General features: G+C 32.1%; 1 protein-coding gene across 8 annotated transcripts in view; it reads right to left on the minus strand.

The window, feature by feature from the left end:
- Positions 1-6,041: 6,041 nt before the first annotated feature.
- The window catches only part of MDGA2 (MAM domain containing glycosylphosphatidylinositol anchor 2), an 835,983-nt gene continuing 822,921 nt past the window's right edge, over positions 6,042-19,103 (minus strand). For 7 of the 8 annotated variants that reach the window (XM_011536519.3, NM_182830.4, XM_047431048.1 and 4 more), the window contains 2 exons: positions 12,185-12,290; positions 6,042-8,438 (listed from right to left, as the gene is read on the minus strand). In XM_011536519.3, the coding sequence (XP_011534821.1) occupies positions 8,350-8,438; positions 12,185-12,290 (195 nt within the window). In that variant the 3' untranslated portion in view covers positions 6,042-8,349. The remainder of the gene's footprint in view (positions 8,439-12,184; positions 12,291-19,103) is intronic. The other variant, NM_001113498.3, reaches the window with a different exon arrangement.

Below are 19,103 nucleotides of genomic sequence, written 5' to 3' on the forward strand. Positions count from 1 at the left end.
GTAGCTATTATGCCTATTTTACAGGAGAAAAAAACTGAGTTGTAGGAACATTAAATAAGTTGATTAAAATTACTTAATGAGAAAGTGCTAGAGTAAAAGTGTGAGCAGAAGCACTCTGAGACAGGAATTTGCTTGTTGAAATATGTCTTAAAGTAAAATTTACTGTAAACTAACCTACATTATGTGACTTCACATAACACAGGAAGGAGAAAGTGGACAGAGAAGCCAAGATGTAAATAGTCACTGAAAAGGAAAGAGGAGAAAGCAAGAAGAACATGAGGTAAAATATTTGCAAATGTGTTTATTGCAACTCCTTTTCAAACTTACTTTATTTGAACACTTTATTTTCACTTTCTAGATTTTATGTCTCTACCAAATGAATTTGATTACAAAATTTTCCTTTTGTCTCTCTTGTACTGATGTGAGCACTCATTTAACTAATTTCATTTTAACTACATTATCCATATCTATTCATATTGTCCCCATCTATGTGACTTCATTGTCTATGATTCTGTTCTATAAACTCTGCAATTCTGTTCTTTGATCCACTGCATGTATCTGACAGTTGGACATTCTTCTCATTCTATCTACGTTTTCTGTATTGGGCATGCAAGCTGAACCTATTCTCAGGAAAATTATGAAATGAATGTAGTCTTTCAAGTCCTATACATCTTCTTTTAGCATGCTTCTGCTTCTTTTTCCTAGTGCTTTCTGGTAAGTTATCTCAGCCTATTATTATAGTTATTGGGAAGATTTTGATCGGATAAAATGTACCCCATATTATTAGGGACTAATATATTTCTCTTATGAAAGTATTTGTAGTTTAAAGGAATACTAAATGGAAAAAAGTAGCACTAAGGATGAAGGAATGGATAACTGAATGGCAAACTGCAGAATAATTGCATCATATTCTAGAGTGGGGGGACTAATTCAGAATGGGTACCCTTCCAGCACCCCCAGATATGACTGCATTGGAAAAAGCCTTTTGGATACATTCAAAATCTCAGTCTTGTACAAGATATTACCAAAATCTGAAAAAAGAAAGATGTATGTTTCTTTCATTAAAAATTTACAACAGACATTGTAGTACTTATTTTTCATTTACTTAATAATTATTATTTGGCTGCCATATATTAGCACCATACCATCCTTATATTTTGGACTCAACAGCCTGTTAAATTGTGTTAGTTTTGAAAATTAAAAAATGTAATTCAAAGCAGAAACAAGTTAAAATAATAAAAATTAACAGTCCTCTCTATTCAATACTGTTCCCAATTTTGAAAATTAATTTGTTTCTTATTATTTTGTTCCATTCGTAAGAATCTAGTTTCTGCTACATGAACTATTACCTAAAATAGTCTTAATTTTAAAATTTTGTTTTACAATTCAAATTATCATACAACTCTGAAAAATATTTGCATGTCTGAGTATACTACACTTCAAGTTTAGATCCCAAGAAATATATACTGCAGCAAACTCTAGAAAGGAGCTAAGATTTTGAATTTAGCTGGAGCTTATATGATCCTACTGATGTAAAATGAAGCATAATATTCTATAATTAATACATTTTAGTTATAGAGATTCCCTAGTATTATTTTCATGTATAATTATGATATCTAACACAAAATATACAGAATTTGTCTAATTTTCCTTAGTTTAAACATATAATGATTTTCTTTGCAGAAACATTAACATTTGCTCTTTTATTAAGAAATACAATTGTTTTCTGTAAAACTAAGAAGTGCTAGAAAGTTATGTTGCAAATGGTTAAACTGTTTCTTCAGTTGGCTTCTCATTTTTTCTCAATATATAGGAGATCTCTTCTATGAAATTACATTGATTTTATTAGTGAAAGATGAAGTTGGTGCTCATTTCTAGGCTAACTGAGTAAGTTCTGGTCTAAATATGGCTCTAAATCATAAATTATTTCGATAATCACTAATTCAGTAGTCTCCATAGAACCGTGACTTACAATTTACCTAGGTTCAATAAAGACTACTGAAGATGTGAATGACACATCCTTGCGATGGAAGAGGTTACTGTTTCATTTGGGAAGCAAGTATGTAGACAACTAAAGACTACGGGAAATACAAATTTAGGTAAGATCCTTAATTCAACTAAAATAGCATATGAAAAATAAACAGCAATTAAACATAGTTAGAAGGAAAATAAAATAAAATGAAAAATAAACAGCAATGAAATGAAAAATAAACAGCAATTAAAAAATAAACATAGAATTAAAAAATAAAATAAAATAGCAATTAAAAAATACAATGAAAAATAAACAGCAATTAAACATAGTTAGAAGGCAGTTGGGGGGCTGATTTTTGAACACTGTTAATGAATCTGTTAATGTTAATTGTATCTGCATTTCCAAAATTTCTTAGGTTTATTTATATATATAATACCAAAAATAAAGATAAAATTAAGCTAAAATGTCAGTAGGGAAACAACGATAAGCAAGTTAATTTTTAGAATACCCTTTATACTTTGGTTCATTCAATCACTGTCAAGCAATATTATTTGTTTCTCCCAGAAAACTCACATTCATCCTAGTGTCCCCATGAAATATGTGATTAAAACTATCTTCCTGAATTACATTAGCACCATTAAACCGCAATTATTTCACATATCATACAGAAGCCCAGAGTTACTAAACTGAGTTATAATTCTTAAATGACATTAATTCAGGAAGATTTTAATGCCTGTTTGTTTAACACAATCTTATAAATAATCCCTTAGAAAGGATGTAAAAATCCACACATATCTTAATGGGCTAATTGTGCTCACTGCAGTGTTGAGTCTATAAAAGCTTTTCAATAGTGAAAGAAATGATGGCATTTTCATCTTAAATTGCAAACATAATTGCTTTTCTAAATATCTTTTTGTTTCTAACTTAAATGCTATTGAGAGCAGAAATTTCCCCAAAACACTAATAGAGTATTTAACATAATTTCATTTATTGAAAAAAAATCCAAGGGAAAATAACATACAGCTATCTGAAACTATTTAGCAGGAAGAAAATACCAAAAGGAATGAAATTAAAACTAAACTTTGAGATTTCAAATGAAACTAATATTCAATATAAATTTAACACAATGTATATTTGATTAAACTTACACATTTAAATATATTGATAAGACTCAAGAAATAAAAATGATATCCTGGAAACCCAGGACAACAATTAAGAGCCATACAAAAACGAACTGAAACTAACAAGCTAATCCCTATTTTATAGAATTTCCCATTGTTTTATTGAAAAATAAGAATACACTTTAGCTCAACTCATGGAAAATTAGTACAATTGAAATTAAATTCAATCAGTTGTAAATATTTCCTCGAGAAAACTATTTCAGTTTCTACCCAGAGTTTAACCTCTGCCCTACTCAACATTTTGAATTCCAGTTCCCTAATTTCAATATATTCAATGTAGGTTCAGGGTAGTGATATCACCACTCATAATTTATTAAGCTTTAAATTAATATATTAATAAAGTCATCCATATACAAATATATGGAATATTTCTCCCTTTCTAAGCCTCGCTTCTTTTTCTAAGCAGACATGAACATATGGATTGATTCAGAACTGACATAGTTCACATACAGATTTCAAGTCTTTAGTCTTTCTTTTTCTGTGTAATAACAACATACATGTTTACTGATAAATATTGTGGATATTCGGCAAAGAACATTTTATATTAGATTTGAAAAAAGTTCCGATCATTCTGTGGTAGCTTTTCTCCTACACAGAAGTAGAAAATGCCAGACATTGCTTTTTAAAAATAAGCGCTAAGAAAACTAATAAACTGATTAGCCACAAAGGGAACATTGTAGGAAAGGAAATAGCTTGGGATTGAACCCTATGATTTTATTGTTTTCACAGAAAATGCAATAACTCCTCATTGACATCAACTACCCAGTTGCAAGAAGAGTGTACCTTCTGCTTTGGTGAGACACAGATGACACAATTAGTAAACAGTAGTCATCAACCAAGAAGCAAATTAATTTGGGGTAAAGATTTTCCAGTTTAAATGTCTGTTGATTGGCCCTCATCTTTGAAAGGCACATTAAAAAAAAAGTTTTGTGGTAAATAATACGCATTCACAAGAATACTTGGAAATCAGTCTATAAAAATCAGATTATTCCATCACCATCTTTCAAATCACTAATCAGAGCAAAGAAAAATCGATCATGTAAAACACCACAGCCAGGTTCATACAGTCTTAATTACATAACTAAATGAATTAATTGTTCTTCAAGTTACACATTTTATTGACATATATGTTTATTATAAAGTTTTTAAAATAAAAATGCATGTTTGGTGAAGTTAATACAATTGTAATTTGTATTTCATCATATTTTAAAATACAAAAGAATTGAATTGCTTTTACTCTATTACATGATGTAACTGACTAGCTGGGTTGTAATTCTCAATATTATAATTATCATAATTCATTGCCATGCCGAAGTCAATTCTGTGATATGTGTGAAATAAAATACCTTTAGTTTAGCCTATTGCATGACATTGTGGTGTACCATGCATCTTTCAAATCTCTTAAAGAAAAGTTAATGGCAGGCCAAACTTGTGACAAAGTACTGTGAATAACACGGAAGGAGGAAACATTTTAAACGGGGATATATAGCATATTGTGATTTGTGGTGGAATTAAAAAACACGTAGCAGGAAAAAGAAAAAAAAAGAGTGTACCTAGGTATGTATATAATGTACTTAAGAGAGGACTCAGATTTTTAAAATGGACAAAATAAAAATTGCATTATTTTTAAATACTGCATAGTCAATGAGCATTTGATGTAAATCTTACAAATATGGTTGGGTGTTTTCTTCTCAGTTTAGGGCTTGTTGAAAAGTAGTACTATTAGGCATAGTTTGGCACTTCTGGCAATGTTAGTGACTTTAGTGAATTTCATTATATCTATGATGCATTTTATATATCACTACAAAGAAATGCTGCCAATTGCAATTAAAATAGGCCCAATTGCAGAGATGTTAACATGTAGAGAGACAAGCATTCTTGAACTCATGAAATAGAATAATACTCCAAATTAATTGGGATCAATTACTGGCAATAAGAGATTACATGGTATATTCTTTCTTCCACAACATTAAAAACTCCATTGCCTGGTGCCTCTCTATAAAAGAACAAAAAATATTGGCATCAATTACACTTTAAATATGTTATCAAAATGGAAAAGGAAAAATATGTTGGTGAGTCCAGTTCATAATAAATACAAAAAATATTAGGAAAAGGAAGGCAGTTGCTAAATGAGTGTTTTAAAAGTTTCATTATTTTTACTAATATTAAAGAAGAGGTTACTTAACAAAATTTACATTTCACTTATCCCAATCTTTTAAAATTTCTGCATTTTATCCATTTACTTTCAATTAAAGCAACTGAACATATGATCTGTAGTGAAAAACGTTGATTCAAATTGTTTGTTGGTTTACGTGAATGATCCAGAACCCACTTGAGATATACGTTTTATTACCATCTCAATAAGTTTGATTGCTTTGCACTTCTTCTGATTGCCCCTTTGTTCTTCACATTCATCTGCAACTTTTAAAAAATTTAATCAAAATTAATTTGTGGTACCAGCCAGTTCTCATCAACTTCTGAAGCATTGTGTATTCTTACTGTTTGAGAGGGTAGGAAAGATTTTAGTATTTTATAAATGCTTAGTAGTAGGATTGAAACTTTTTCTTACAGTTACTTCTTTGTGCAGGATTACTTAGAATAACAGGACATTTGATTGTTTACCTGAAAAGGACACATGTATATTTAAATATTCTGAATACAGTCTTTTTTATTTTTTATTTTTTTGCAAAAGCCTCACTGAAATCAACTTAAAGATCAAGGGAGGGAGAGGCAATGAGTTAAGAGTCTCCTTTTAGATCTAAAACATTTTCATTGCTATTATCAGGAATGAGAGTGCTGAAAATCAATTAAAAAGGGTGATCTACTGATAAGAGATAGTGGAGAAAAGGGGCTAGTTGCCACAAAATGGAAGTCAAGGTGAAGAGAAATTTTGTAAAACGTAAAAGAAATGCCCCAGATATTGTGTACTTGAATCTCTTTGGTCTGATAAAGTATATGGGTTACTGTGAAACTCTGAAAAAATTTTAAGATGTCTAATTCATTCAAATAAGTTATGAAACTCATTTGTTTATTATGTTTAATTTAAAGGACTTGGTTCAGATCAATTCCATCACTACCTAAATATTCAAACTGGTCCCCTTTTGAACTGACTGAAAATAGACATTAAATTCCAGGTTCATATATGTTTCATATTTTACCTTCAAAGGTTTAACTGCTTTCTGCATGTATTACAATATAGGGGAGTGCATCAGGGAGTTCCTATTAAAATTTCTTTCTGCAGACATTAAGGTATGTGGAGCACTGAAGATTTATCCCATGGTAACCAATAAATTGTATAACTAATTTCATTTTAGTGATAAGTGAACATTGCTCAACAAACACACATACTGCTTGTCATACCTTACCTGGAAAGAGGCTTTATTGAACATAGCTGTAAAATTATATTTTAAGTTGAATTACTGAATTTGCACAAACATTTCTACAGAATTGTTTTAAAAAACAAGCTTTGTCATTTTCCACTACATTTTGTTGTGCTTTTATATTAATATTTGCAAATGCTATAATTTAATACTTATATTCCAATTGCTTGCATAATCAGTTTTTTTAATCCTGGGGTGTTGAAAGAACATATAATAATAATATTCTTCTTAGACAAAAGTCTTTTTAAATGAAGTTAAAAGCTGAGATAATTTAAGGAAAATGATCTTCAAATTTTCATAACCAACAGGTTTAAGTGAAATTTACAATGCATTGGAAAACTGGCTGGTTAAAGATATGATTTGTCGTCAGGTAGCTCAAAATTATTTTTACAGGTTTTTGTTTTTTTGTAAAAGTGTTTTTATAATCTTGGTAAAATAATAAAATAATATTTCACAATTTGCACAGAGTCTGACTAAAGGGCAGAGGCATATTACCCTCAGAGTTTAGAATAAAGCCAGATTTTTCAGGCCCAGTTCCACTGTAGAGTTAGTATGCACTGCAATCCCAAACATTTTCTTGTTCCCTCTAAAGCTAGGGCCAATTTCATTTCAAATGGAGGTTAGAGTAAAAAAATCACTTTTGTGTTTTACCACCTTCTGCACTAAGTATTCTTAATAACCTTTTGCTCTGGTTGACCCATTTAATAACCTGGAAGAAAAAAAGTGTTGCTCCATGTCTGGTCTCAATGGAAGTGATTTTCTAATGGACAATAAGCCGAAAGGCCATGGCTGTCTAGGAGGTTAAACAACAAATATCTTGTCTGCATGGGCTTACGCAGCAGCTTCGGTCCTTTCTTCTTCAGAAGCGGCTTTGTTGTCTTGCCTGTAATTTGCACATTTAGGCTCTGTAGTTTGTTTATAAAATAGTTTTACACAAACCACTCTTAGCAGTGCAAGCTTCTGAGTTGAAAATTATTCAGGCTTGTTTCATTGAAGGCACTTGGTTTCCATGGCAATTTATAAAAGATGGTGGTTTGGTTTCTTCATTGGAACAGATGACGTAGTTTGGGTGTTCAAGTGGCCGCAAGCAAACTCCGATAAGCCTGTGTAACATGTAAGCCCAGGTTTACCATCCTGGATAGTAGTGCATGCAAAAAGAGACAGCATACAGTTATCTAGCTTAGCCATGGGAGAAAAATAATAATAATAAAGGTGGGATGGGGATAAGGTGGGGAGAAACATGAATGCTTTAAATAATTCTGAGTTCGGGTTATTTTCAAGGAAGGGTAACAGCCAAAGGTAAAAGGGCCTACATTTATTTAATTCTCTACGAAAACCTTCTCGTAAGGAAAATAAATGCCAGCTCTTCACGTACCCTGTTTACAGTGAGGTTTTTGTTGGCAGGCCATTAGGTTTCCATGGTAACAAGCAAACTATTCATTTGAAACAAAACCAGCCATGACTTTGTGCTTTGACAAGGATTTCTATAGCTCTTTTTTTTTTCTTTTTTTCATTTTTTTTTTTTTTTCCAGAGTTCAACCAGATGACGCTGTAATCTTTTTAGCCACAAAAGCACCTGAAGGTCTCTTCTCTACTCAGGTCAAGATTATCTTTTATGTTTAGTCTGGAATAAGTTATACTTCCATGATGTCTTTTTATCCCCAGTGCTTAAAAAAATTTGTTTTTATTATTTTATTTTTGAGTCAGTAGTCAGTGGAGGAATCTTTGGTAGTTTGTTTGTTCAATGTCCATTTACAAAGACTCTTTCTTCATGCCAGTGCCTGGTGAATCTTTTATAGCCTCTGCCAGGATAAGGTCACCTTCGAGGACTTAAGATAGAGATGAGGACGATAATGGGAAAAAGCCATATATGAACCAAAATCCCAACAGCACCATCAACGGAATCTAAAGATAAGGAAAATAAATGCAAACAAAAAAAGAAGAATAATAAGCATTCCACGTAGCTACTAACACAACCTTGGTGAATAATAAAACAAGTATATGGAAAATATTTCTGGAAAATATTTATTTTTATTTTGTTTTATTTATCAGCTTCATTGCTAAGGGAAGTGAAAAGGAAAATGAATATATGGTTAAGGCACTTGATAAAAAGATTTACAGATTTTGAATTGATATAATATGCTATGAAAACTTGTTCATAACATATTCACATAGGTTTGTGGTTGAGCTCAATCTTAAGAGTTCTGCTAGCCACAGGAAAGCAGGAACATGGAGAAAATTATCAGAATACTTCAAAAAGTAGATTTTTTTTCAAGCTTCCCGAAGTGGATAAGCTTGAAGACTGAAAGAAAATCTATCTTAATGAAAACTAGAAAGGGATGGTTATGTGTACAGAAATTAACTATTGCAACTAGTAGATGATCCATGTTTAGATCGGTCCATTATCTATAAATTATACAAATAATTTTCTCTTTATTTTAACTTTTAGAGGCATGATGAAGTCCATTCAAACTAAAAAATCCCTTCCACCAATCGGCCTGGAAAGTCCTACTGTAATTGGGATTTCTGTTAAAACCTGGTGTCCAGTTGATGCCTCTTAGAATGCATGCCTTACTGTGGAGGGATAACACAGATATAATTCATTAAACTAGCTAAAGTTGCAAAGTGGCTTGTATCTAGGGGAGAATTGAGTTTGAAAATTGAGACATACAATCTTATATCTGCATGGTGTGGACCATAGTTCCATTTATTGCCTGGAAAGAACTGGCAGCCTGAGGAATCAGGAAGAGGCTTTCAGCCTTCAGGCTGGTCTGTACTTAGAATATAATATTCATTTAATAATCATCAATCAATCAAATGCTAGTCATAAAATGAACTTAATAAATGGTAATTAAATGACACAAATGTAACAGAAAACTTTCTGATGCCAAATAGATTATTTGTGTTCAATTAAGATTATTTATTTCCCCTAATTTATAGAGTTTAAATATAAATACACCCAATACATACAGGGGGTGTTTTCATATTTAAAACTGCCACACATTTCTTGGATTTGCTAGTTTAAGAGAAAAAAAAAACTAATTATAAAAATGTTCTATTGTAATAGAACTTGTACAGTAATGAAGTCCCTATGGGCTTTCACAGGCATTTACTGTGGCTAGTTTTATCAGTTATGCTTTCTTTCTGCACTAGGGAGTAAATAATTTCCTTTGCTTTCTTCCTTTGAAAAGTTTAATTCAATTTATTGAATTTATTTATAATATTTGTGCTTACATTATGAAAATGTAAAATTTCTGTATATAGTTGTAACTGCCTTCAATTAATAAAATGTTACTGCCACTCAGTCATACTATGAAATTCAAAAGAAATCCTATTCTCCTTTGAGGAGAATACATGTTTTCCTGTGCATTAGAAAAACTGTTCTTTTGAGTATAGCTACTGGTTTTCTAAAGCAGAACTAGACAGACACAAGGATACATTTTTACTAAATATGTTACTTGAAATACTAAGTTTATGACTTTTTAATATATTTTCATTTTATATAACAATGAGCAAAATGGCTCATTGTTATATAAAAATCTTAGTTTTTGTCTTTTGACAATACTTAAGAATTGAGTCAATTCAGTTCATATGAGTAATCAGTGGACAATTGTACACATTCAACTTTCAACATCTAGACTGGTACAGTTTCTCACTAAATATAGAAAATTACCAAAGACTCTGATTTGCTCTAGATTTATACAACATAGATTTTCATGCTTTTGTATGTGCTAAATAATTGATGAGTAATTTGTGTAAATTTAGTTTGATTACTTTCTCTATATATGACCACAAAATAAAAGATTCCAGATGAGTCTAAGATAATCCTTCAATTGCAGTCATTTTTAACAGGAATGATTTTAGATTTCATAGCTTCGAATGTGAAATATGGAGATGAGGACTTTAAGAAGCAGCTAAATACATAATTCTAAATCTTTGTGCATTATTCATCATGTTTTATTTATATCTCTTCTATTATAAAATGGACCTGTGACAAAAAAATAAAATTAAATATATCATTAAACCATAATACTCAAAAAAGGGTATAAAGTGAAAATCAAATTATTAAACAAGCTTGTGGTGCAGATAGGAGATTAGACCATAAATATGAGGTCTACTTCATTACTTAATATATGTATTTAGGCTCTTTACAATGCTGAATCTGTTAAAATGGCTGGCAAAAGGCCAGGCACAGTGGCTCACGCCTGTAATCCCAGCAGTTTGGGAGGCCGAGGCAGGTGGACCACCTGAGGTCGGGAGTTCGAGACCAGCCTGGCCAACATGGTGAAACCGCGTCTCTACTAAAAATACAAAAAATTAGCGGGGTGTGGTGCCGCGAGTCTGTAATCCCAGCTACTCAGGAGGCTGAGGCAAGAGAATCACTTGAACCCGGGAGGCGGAGATTGCAGTGAGCAGAGATTGCACTGTTGCACTCCAGCCTGGGCAACAAGAGCAAAACTCCGTCTCAAAAAAAAAAATTGGCTAAATCAGGAAATATATTCACTATATTCACAAACTGGACGAATGAAAGCATCTATGCTGACATGGTAAGGCTTTGTGTCCTCACACAAGTCTCATCTTGAAATATAATCTGCATAATCCCCATGTTTCAAGGGAGAGACCAAATCTCATCTTGAAATATAATCCGCATAATCCCCATGTTTCAAGTGAGAGACCAGGTGGAGGTAACTGAATCATGGGGGCTCTTCCCCTATGCTCTTCTCATGAAAGTGAGTTTTCACTAGATCTGATGATTTTTATTATTATTATTATTATTATGTTTTTGAGACAGACTCTTGCTCTGTCGCCCAGGCTGGAGTGCAGTGGCGTGATCTTGGCTCACTGCAAGCTCCGCCTCCCGCGTTCACGCCAATCTCCTGCCTCGGCCTCCCGAGTAGCTGGGACTACAGGGACTACACGCCCGGCTAATATTTTTTCTTTGTATTTTTAAATAGAGACGGGGTTTCACCGTCTTAGCCAGGATGGTCTTGATCTCCTGACCTTGTGATCCACCCGCCTCGGCCTCCCAAAGTGCTGGGATTACAGGCGTGAGCCACCGCGCCCGGCCGATCTGATGATTTTATAAGGGGCACTTCCCCCTTCTCTCAGCAATTCTCCTTGCTGCCTTGTGAAGAAGGTACTCTGCTTCCCCTTCACCTTCCGCCATGATTGTGAGTTTCCTTAGGCCTCCCAGCCTTGCTGAACTGTGAGTCAATTAAATCTCTTTCTTTTATAAATTACCCAGTGTTGGGCAGTTCTTTATAGCAGTATGAAGATTGACTAATACAATTTACATTGTAAATATGTGCTATGTATATAGGTTCATCAAATATTTTAATACAAGTTTTTAAATCTTCTAAAACAAATAATATCAAAGTGTTTTAAAATCTTAATTAAAAATCAAAGTGTACTTGCCTTACGTAGATCTAAATCAAAATCTCACTTCTATTTTATCTTAGGCCAAATATGTCTACAATTGAATTTAATACTTTAAAAATAACTGAACAAACTTTAGGGTATTACATATAAGAAATTTCTAAATAAACCAACTAAAAATAACTCCGTTTTTAAAATTAATTAAATTAAATGTTAATTTAATAGTAATGTTACTTTAACGTTACAACAAACCAATCTCAAGCAAAGATACTTACTCTTAGTTGCTAGGTCTTGTTTTGCACATTCTCCTTCTGCAATTGATACATCATCAATAGCAATGTCACCTTCTATTCCAGGACCTCGGATACCTTCAAAAATGAGCTACAAATATGAATGAAACAAACCTAAATGTGGAGCTTTGATTTGCAGATCAGTTTCTCTTGAGAAATCAAGGTGACAAAAATAAACTTGTCAGTAATCCTGGCATCTTTTATATTTGATGGCTTTCAAAATTAAAACTTGCAGAAAACATAAACTTTCATCCCAAAACCAGTAATTGAATCTTCCTTGCATTGTATTAGTTTTTCACATCAAAAGCTCTGTGTCGATTTTAAAGCAAAACTAAACTTAATTAAATAATACAATTAAAAAAAATGACTACACATCCTCTTTTAATTTTTAAGGATAAGAAAAAATGTTTTATTTGAAAAGTCTTTCTCTGAGATAGATTCTTTCTGGTTTTATCTGAACATAACTCATAACATTAGTTTTCTAGAAATATTTTAAAGAATGAATCAATTCTGAATTCTTTACAACAGTAATATGTATATTGAAGCCCGGAACAAAGTGTTTCTATCTCTGACATTGATTTCTCACAAATAGATTGAATAGGTTCGTCATATTCCCATGTTGACTTTATAATTTACCTCCATGATTTCACTGCTGATATTCCATTTTTTTAAACTTGAAGATATGTATCAGTCTATTTATGTTGAATATCTCACGGTATACCTTTGAATTTATGGTGTCTATAACAATGGTGGTCACTGAGGCTCAGTGCATGAATATTGAAAGAATAAATGAGTACAATCAGAATCCTTTATTATTAAATACTTAAAACAATGACAATAGAAGCACAATTAGCAAATTTATATATTTTTTATTTTTACAGAAACAGGACTCTTTTAGAATTTTCTTTATGGCTCCCAAATTATTCCTTGCTTTCAGCAAAACTTTAATCTTTTTGATACTGTAAGGCAATTCATGCATTTAGTGGTGGGTATACAGTTCTAGAAAAATATTTACATGTTAAAAGGAAATATCTGCTTTGGTCATTCCAAAGAATAGTTTAATAAAGAGCTGTTTCTAACATCAATCTGGTAATGTGCTTTATTAATAACATTTCTAGACTTATGTCATCACAACAAATCTGACAATGTTTATTTTTATCAATGCCAAAGTTTTTGTTTTTGTTTTTATTTGAAAACATCTCCTCAAAGGCAAATCAGAGTCATCTCTGAACTTTTCAAAGCTGCTGTCCTGGGAAAGCCATAGCTTAATTATGATGATTTTGAGAGAACTTAGGCTACTTTTGAGAAATTTATCCAATGTTCTTTGATATGCTCTCATAATATTATCAGTGGGAATCTCCAGGTAGTAACCAGAGGCATCAGTTGTCAACTTTTGTATTGAGACCCTGTCCTTCACTTAAATGTAGTTCATCAAACAAATAATAATTTTCATGATTTGATAGCAGAGAAAAATTTGAGTTCTTACTGATATACAGATATGATAAATATGGAGTTTCCTGCTTATCTATGTTAAGATAAGCATGTTCTTAAAGATTCTCCAAAGCCATCTCTTTGAAAGACATTTAAAATGGTCTGTTTCACTGAAGCCAAAACAAAATGGCAGCTGTAGTTCAAATATTTAGAACCAAGTTAGCAGTTTAGCAAATTCTCAGTCCTCAGATAGAATTTACAATGAAGTATTATTTTGGCTGCTTGGAAATGATGACTTCCATTTGAGATAGGATGGTGTCTGGAAAGGTAACTGGGAAGTGGCTTTAAAAAGTCTCAGAAGACTTTTTAACAGTCCTTTATTTAAAAGGTCTATGAGAAAGGATTTAGAAAAAAATGAACGGTATGAACATTTGAGAGAATTGAATATGAAGAAAGGGAAGTCATTTTAAGGTGCAGAATATTCCACATTATGGATGTAATTTATTTAACCAGTACCCTATAGTCATCGTTAGACATTAAAACTATTGTCTCCTATTATGAACAAGGCTGAGGTGACTACGTTTCAAATAATTATTATTCATACTTATTTAAAGCACATTGTTCTTTAAAGCCTTTACAAATTGCCCGTATGAGCAAACTACCTGTGAGAAAATATTTTCCTTTTTCCAAAAAGTAGGTTTTTAAGTCTTGGGGTATATTTTCCCTCTTTGATATGTGTCCCTTACCTGATAGAGAGTCAATGTTAGAGTAAATCAATAGTTAATATTAAATACTGCTTGTAGAGTGCAATACAGGGTTTACAATGTAGCCATAGCAAAGATAAGGGGTTTGCATTCCCATGGGCTTTATGTGGGGAAGTGAGATGTGGTGAAGAGTCTAATAAAGGTGGGTTAAAATGCTCTGCACCTGCTCGCACTTGAAATTTACACAGATAAAGCTGAAGTCAAAATCCTTTTATTAGGAAGGATGTTTGAAAAACATCCACAGTGTTCTGTATCACTGAAGCCAAAACAAAATTGCAGTACATGGATTTCCTATCTTAGCTATGTAAAGGTAAAAAGTTTGAAGAAAATACACTTTTTCTTATTCAAAGTACACAATTGCTTTCACTTAGTAAGTTCTTGTTACTTCCAGATGGGAGTCATATAAAATGGTGAGATTTCTTTAAAAATCAAAACTAAAACATACATGTCGTCAAAGTCATTTCTGAACTTTTCAAAGCTGCTGTCCTGGGAAAGCCATAGTTTAATTACAATGATCCTGCCATTACTTCAAAGCATTTCAAAACTTCTCCTACTACTGCCTTTAAAGGATTAAACAATCCTCCTTTTTATATTAATTTTCTTTTTCATCCTGTCCTCCTGCCTCCCTGTGCAGCTTGATCAAAATCAAAAGATTGGACCTAGGCTTGTGCTAAAAAAAAAAAAAAAAGTCCCAGAGCAGTGAAATTGTGAAAGACAGACCCTTTTGTAGTCAGATTGAGAGACTGTGTCGGGAAACCATCTGTAGTAAACATCAGGAAGCGGATTGACTAATGTAATTTAATATGTGTGCTACCTACCTACTGGCAATATGTTGACTGTAAGTCTGTGGTTTGCTGAACAACAAAACTAGCAATCAACAAAAATCAAAGCGTCACGTGTCCAGAGGGCTTCCTATACTTAGAACATTACCTTATATGAATATTTCACCCCTTGGTGATACCGAATGAATGAAGTGGTACAGTAAAAAAAGTAGGCTGATTTGCAAATATATTATTTACATTTACACTTACAATTATTGATACTACATTTTGTCATTGATAAAGCAAGGTAATTTCTTTAAGCATAGCAGGAATTTTAGACATTTTGTTTAAATAAATCTAGTTATTTATTGGTATGATAAAGATAATTTCTAGCAATAAAACTCTTAGTACAGTCATAATTTGTATTTTTAATATTTATTTGTAATCTTGTGATGATAAAGAATCTATTTTAATAGGCCAGAGAAATCTGCAGTCTTCCACAAGGACCTTTTTGAACAGAAAGGAAAAGAAAGGTCCTGTGTAGCATGTTTATTTGTTTCCTTTTAATTTCCACAGTTTTGCTATTACAAAGATGTAGATTATTTTTTAACAGGTTGAATTTCACCAATAAATATTTATTGCATTGTTTTATTTATGCTCTGAGCTCTTGACTACAATTATATTTCTGAATTACTTTAATTAAATTTTATAGATTCAAACAGATTCATAAATGACTCCTAGACTAAGATCTAGAGAGAGCATGTTTTACTTGACATGGTTTCTGTGTGAGTTAGATTAGACAAATATAAAGTGTAGATATTAAATTTAAGTAATGTGCCTTAGCCAAACTTTTAAGCATTTGTAAAAATAAATCTTTGCTGACGTTTTCTAGAATATACAGATGAGAAATTATAAGTGCATTAAAATATGATGTATTTAGCCATAGAAGATGTGATCTTTACACAACAAAAAATCTTAATTATATTTATCTCGAGAATTAAGACTCTCTAGTTTAAAGAGTTAAATTGTCATATTTTTATTTCCATCATTTCCATCATTTATTTCCATCATTATTTTGACTACTATTACATTACAGAGATAAAACCATTTTCGTTTCCTCTTCAGTACTTCTGAAATGCATTTGGTTTAACTAACTTGAAGAAGGAACTAACAGCAACTAGGTACCCATGGAGAAAATGTGAAAGTTTAGGTCTCCTAAAAGAGGGATAAAATTATGCAAAACCTGTTCCTCCCGCACAATAGCACTATTATTTAAAATTATTTCCCTTAATTGAAATGACAAGTTTAAAACTGAAATGTTTTCACAGTGTGTTCATGCAACTTCGCAACCTTAACATACAAAAAATATTGCCTAATCAGAAAATTAACTTTTGGTAAGTAAATTCAAACGGGAATTCTAAAAAATTAATGTGGATTTCTGTATTAGAATTGTACCTCACAAAATTGTTTCATTAATTGACAGTTTCTTACATACATTATAATGCTTTAAAACATATAAATATAGATGTCAAAATAAAGATATAGATGATGCTATAAAAGTATGTGTCAAATGTAATTTCTCAGCAAGAAAAGAAGAGCTACATGAATCACGAATGTGTAAAAGTAGATGGGGGAATTAAATAATACAATGCACTTCTGATGATTTGCCTTCATTGTTAATGGTGACTTCTGCAAATATTTACAACATAGTTTCTTCCTGACAAAAGGCAAATCACTTCTAATCATTACTGCTAAGGCAAATGCAAAACCCTAAGACTGCAGTTTGAAAATTGACAGTATATGTCACTTTGAAAAACTTCAGGATATAAATATATTTAAAAATAACCATTAGCATTAATAATGTTATCTTTATTTTATCACTGGTTTAGCAAATAATTGAACTATCCTCAACCATTACAAAACAAATTTGAAGAGAGACAGCATAATAGACATAGTGGGTAGCCTTGGCTTTTTCCCTGGGGAAACTACCCAAATATGAACAGTGAGTTTAACTTAACAATACTCTGCCAGTTCATCTTGTGGGACAAATGTCAATTAGTTGTCAACATTTCTAATATTAAATAATAACATGAGAGTCGACTGTTGGGAAAGACAAAGAAATGCATCAAATTGTGAGCTGCAATTGGTAAATGTTTTCAATGGTTAAGTCAGGAGCCACCATTGTGTCCATATAATTGCCCTGGAATGTGGCTTAGAATGCCAGATATGCTACATGAGCATGTAATGTCTACTAATGAGGACAATATTTTCTAGCTTATTATTATTCTTAGTTGGAACATAAGGCAGCATGATGTAAGGAGAGCAGTATAGTCTCTTTTCCAGTCCCTGTTACAGTGTTAAGCATTTGTATCTTAATTTTCTCAAAAATTTCTCAAAACCTGTTTCTAAGTCTTTAAATGAATATGTAAGAGCAGGAGGTTTCCAGAATCCCTTTCTCTTAAACTAAGAAAACGTAAAGAGCATCTTGTGTCTCACAATCTAGTTGTACACTTTACCCCTGGAAAACATTTGAAATATACTATGAAAGAAGTAAAGCATTAAAAGGGGATGGTTAAATATTTTCCCTGGTATATGATGTAAAATTCATTGACATTATAAGAATATATCCATTTTGCTTCTTTGGAATTGTTGCCCTAATTTTTCCCAATGTAGCAAAATCTGTTTTCATCCCAAGCACTGATCATGCTAAGTTAATTCTAGTAAATGAACCCAACATAAATTTCAATAGAATAAAACTTCTACTTGTCTTGAAAAGTACTAAGCAATAATTGTATTTTCAGCTAAGCAAACTAATTGGACACACTCAAACAAAGGACTGTCCAAGTAATTTTATAAAGGATTTATGGATCAAATTAATTTAAAGTCATGCAACTCAAAACAAATAAAACAGTGTAAATGCTAGTGAAAGAGACTCAAAGTCACTTATATTCTGTGTAAAATTTCAAGAGGTAAAAGTTGTGCCGTCCACTTGAAGTAAATACATCCTCAAATACCAGAAAGTTACATTTGAGTAATATTAAAACCTCTCAAACCTTAATTTATATAGTAATATATTGGTATCATTGTTGTTATCAGGAGTTCCTAGAAGACGTTACATACCAAATAAAGTATTTTTGAGAAGTTTGACAAGTTATAAAAGATTTTTGGGTAAAAAAAAAAACTTTTTATAAAACAATTCAAAACAAATTTCTCTAAAATGAAACGAGACAAAAACAACAAAAGTGGCATGGGATTGTTTAGTTGTGTTTCACGTTTCCTTGAACAATCAAGATTAATGAAATAAAGTCCTTAGCCAATAGACCTAGAAATATGTTGGGAAATGAAAGAGCGTCGATCAAAATGAAAAGATGATTTTATCTATCTTTATTTTCCACTGGTAATTTAAATAGCTTAAAAATGCATCAATTCAAACTATTTACAAATACAGATTGTTCCATTTGTTTCCATGAAAAATAGAGTAACAGGAACAAGGCTATATTTCTACTTTAAATTACCAAATAACTGGGCCAACCACAGTGTTCAGGATACTAGATATCAGATAATGAAGAAGTGTGATCCCTGGGAAATGGGAGTCAAATAAGGTGAATTCTCTTGACCAATACAAAGTTTTAGGCCATGGTGCAAGTAGAGGAAAAGAAGGTGAAACCTGGTAGAAAATCTGAGTTGAGGAGATGAGAGTTCAAAAAAACAAGGGAAGCTGGAATGTTCAGGGCAGAATACCAGAGAAAAACAGTGGCAGAGAAAAAGAAAGAGAGAGAGAAATAGAGCACTGCAGAGAGTCCTCCTTGAGTATTCAGCAGAGTACTGATCAGGACATGAAATGAGCAATCTACCCAATACTTGGGAAAGAAACAGAGGGGTGAATTTGAGTTAATAGTGCCCAGCATTCACAGGACTGGGAATGGTGACTGTTCCCATCCACCACAT

This window comes from Homo sapiens, chromosome 14, assembly GCF_000001405.40.
Source record: "Homo sapiens chromosome 14, GRCh38.p14 Primary Assembly".
NCBI lineage: Eukaryota > Metazoa > Chordata > Mammalia > Primates > Hominidae > Homo > Homo sapiens.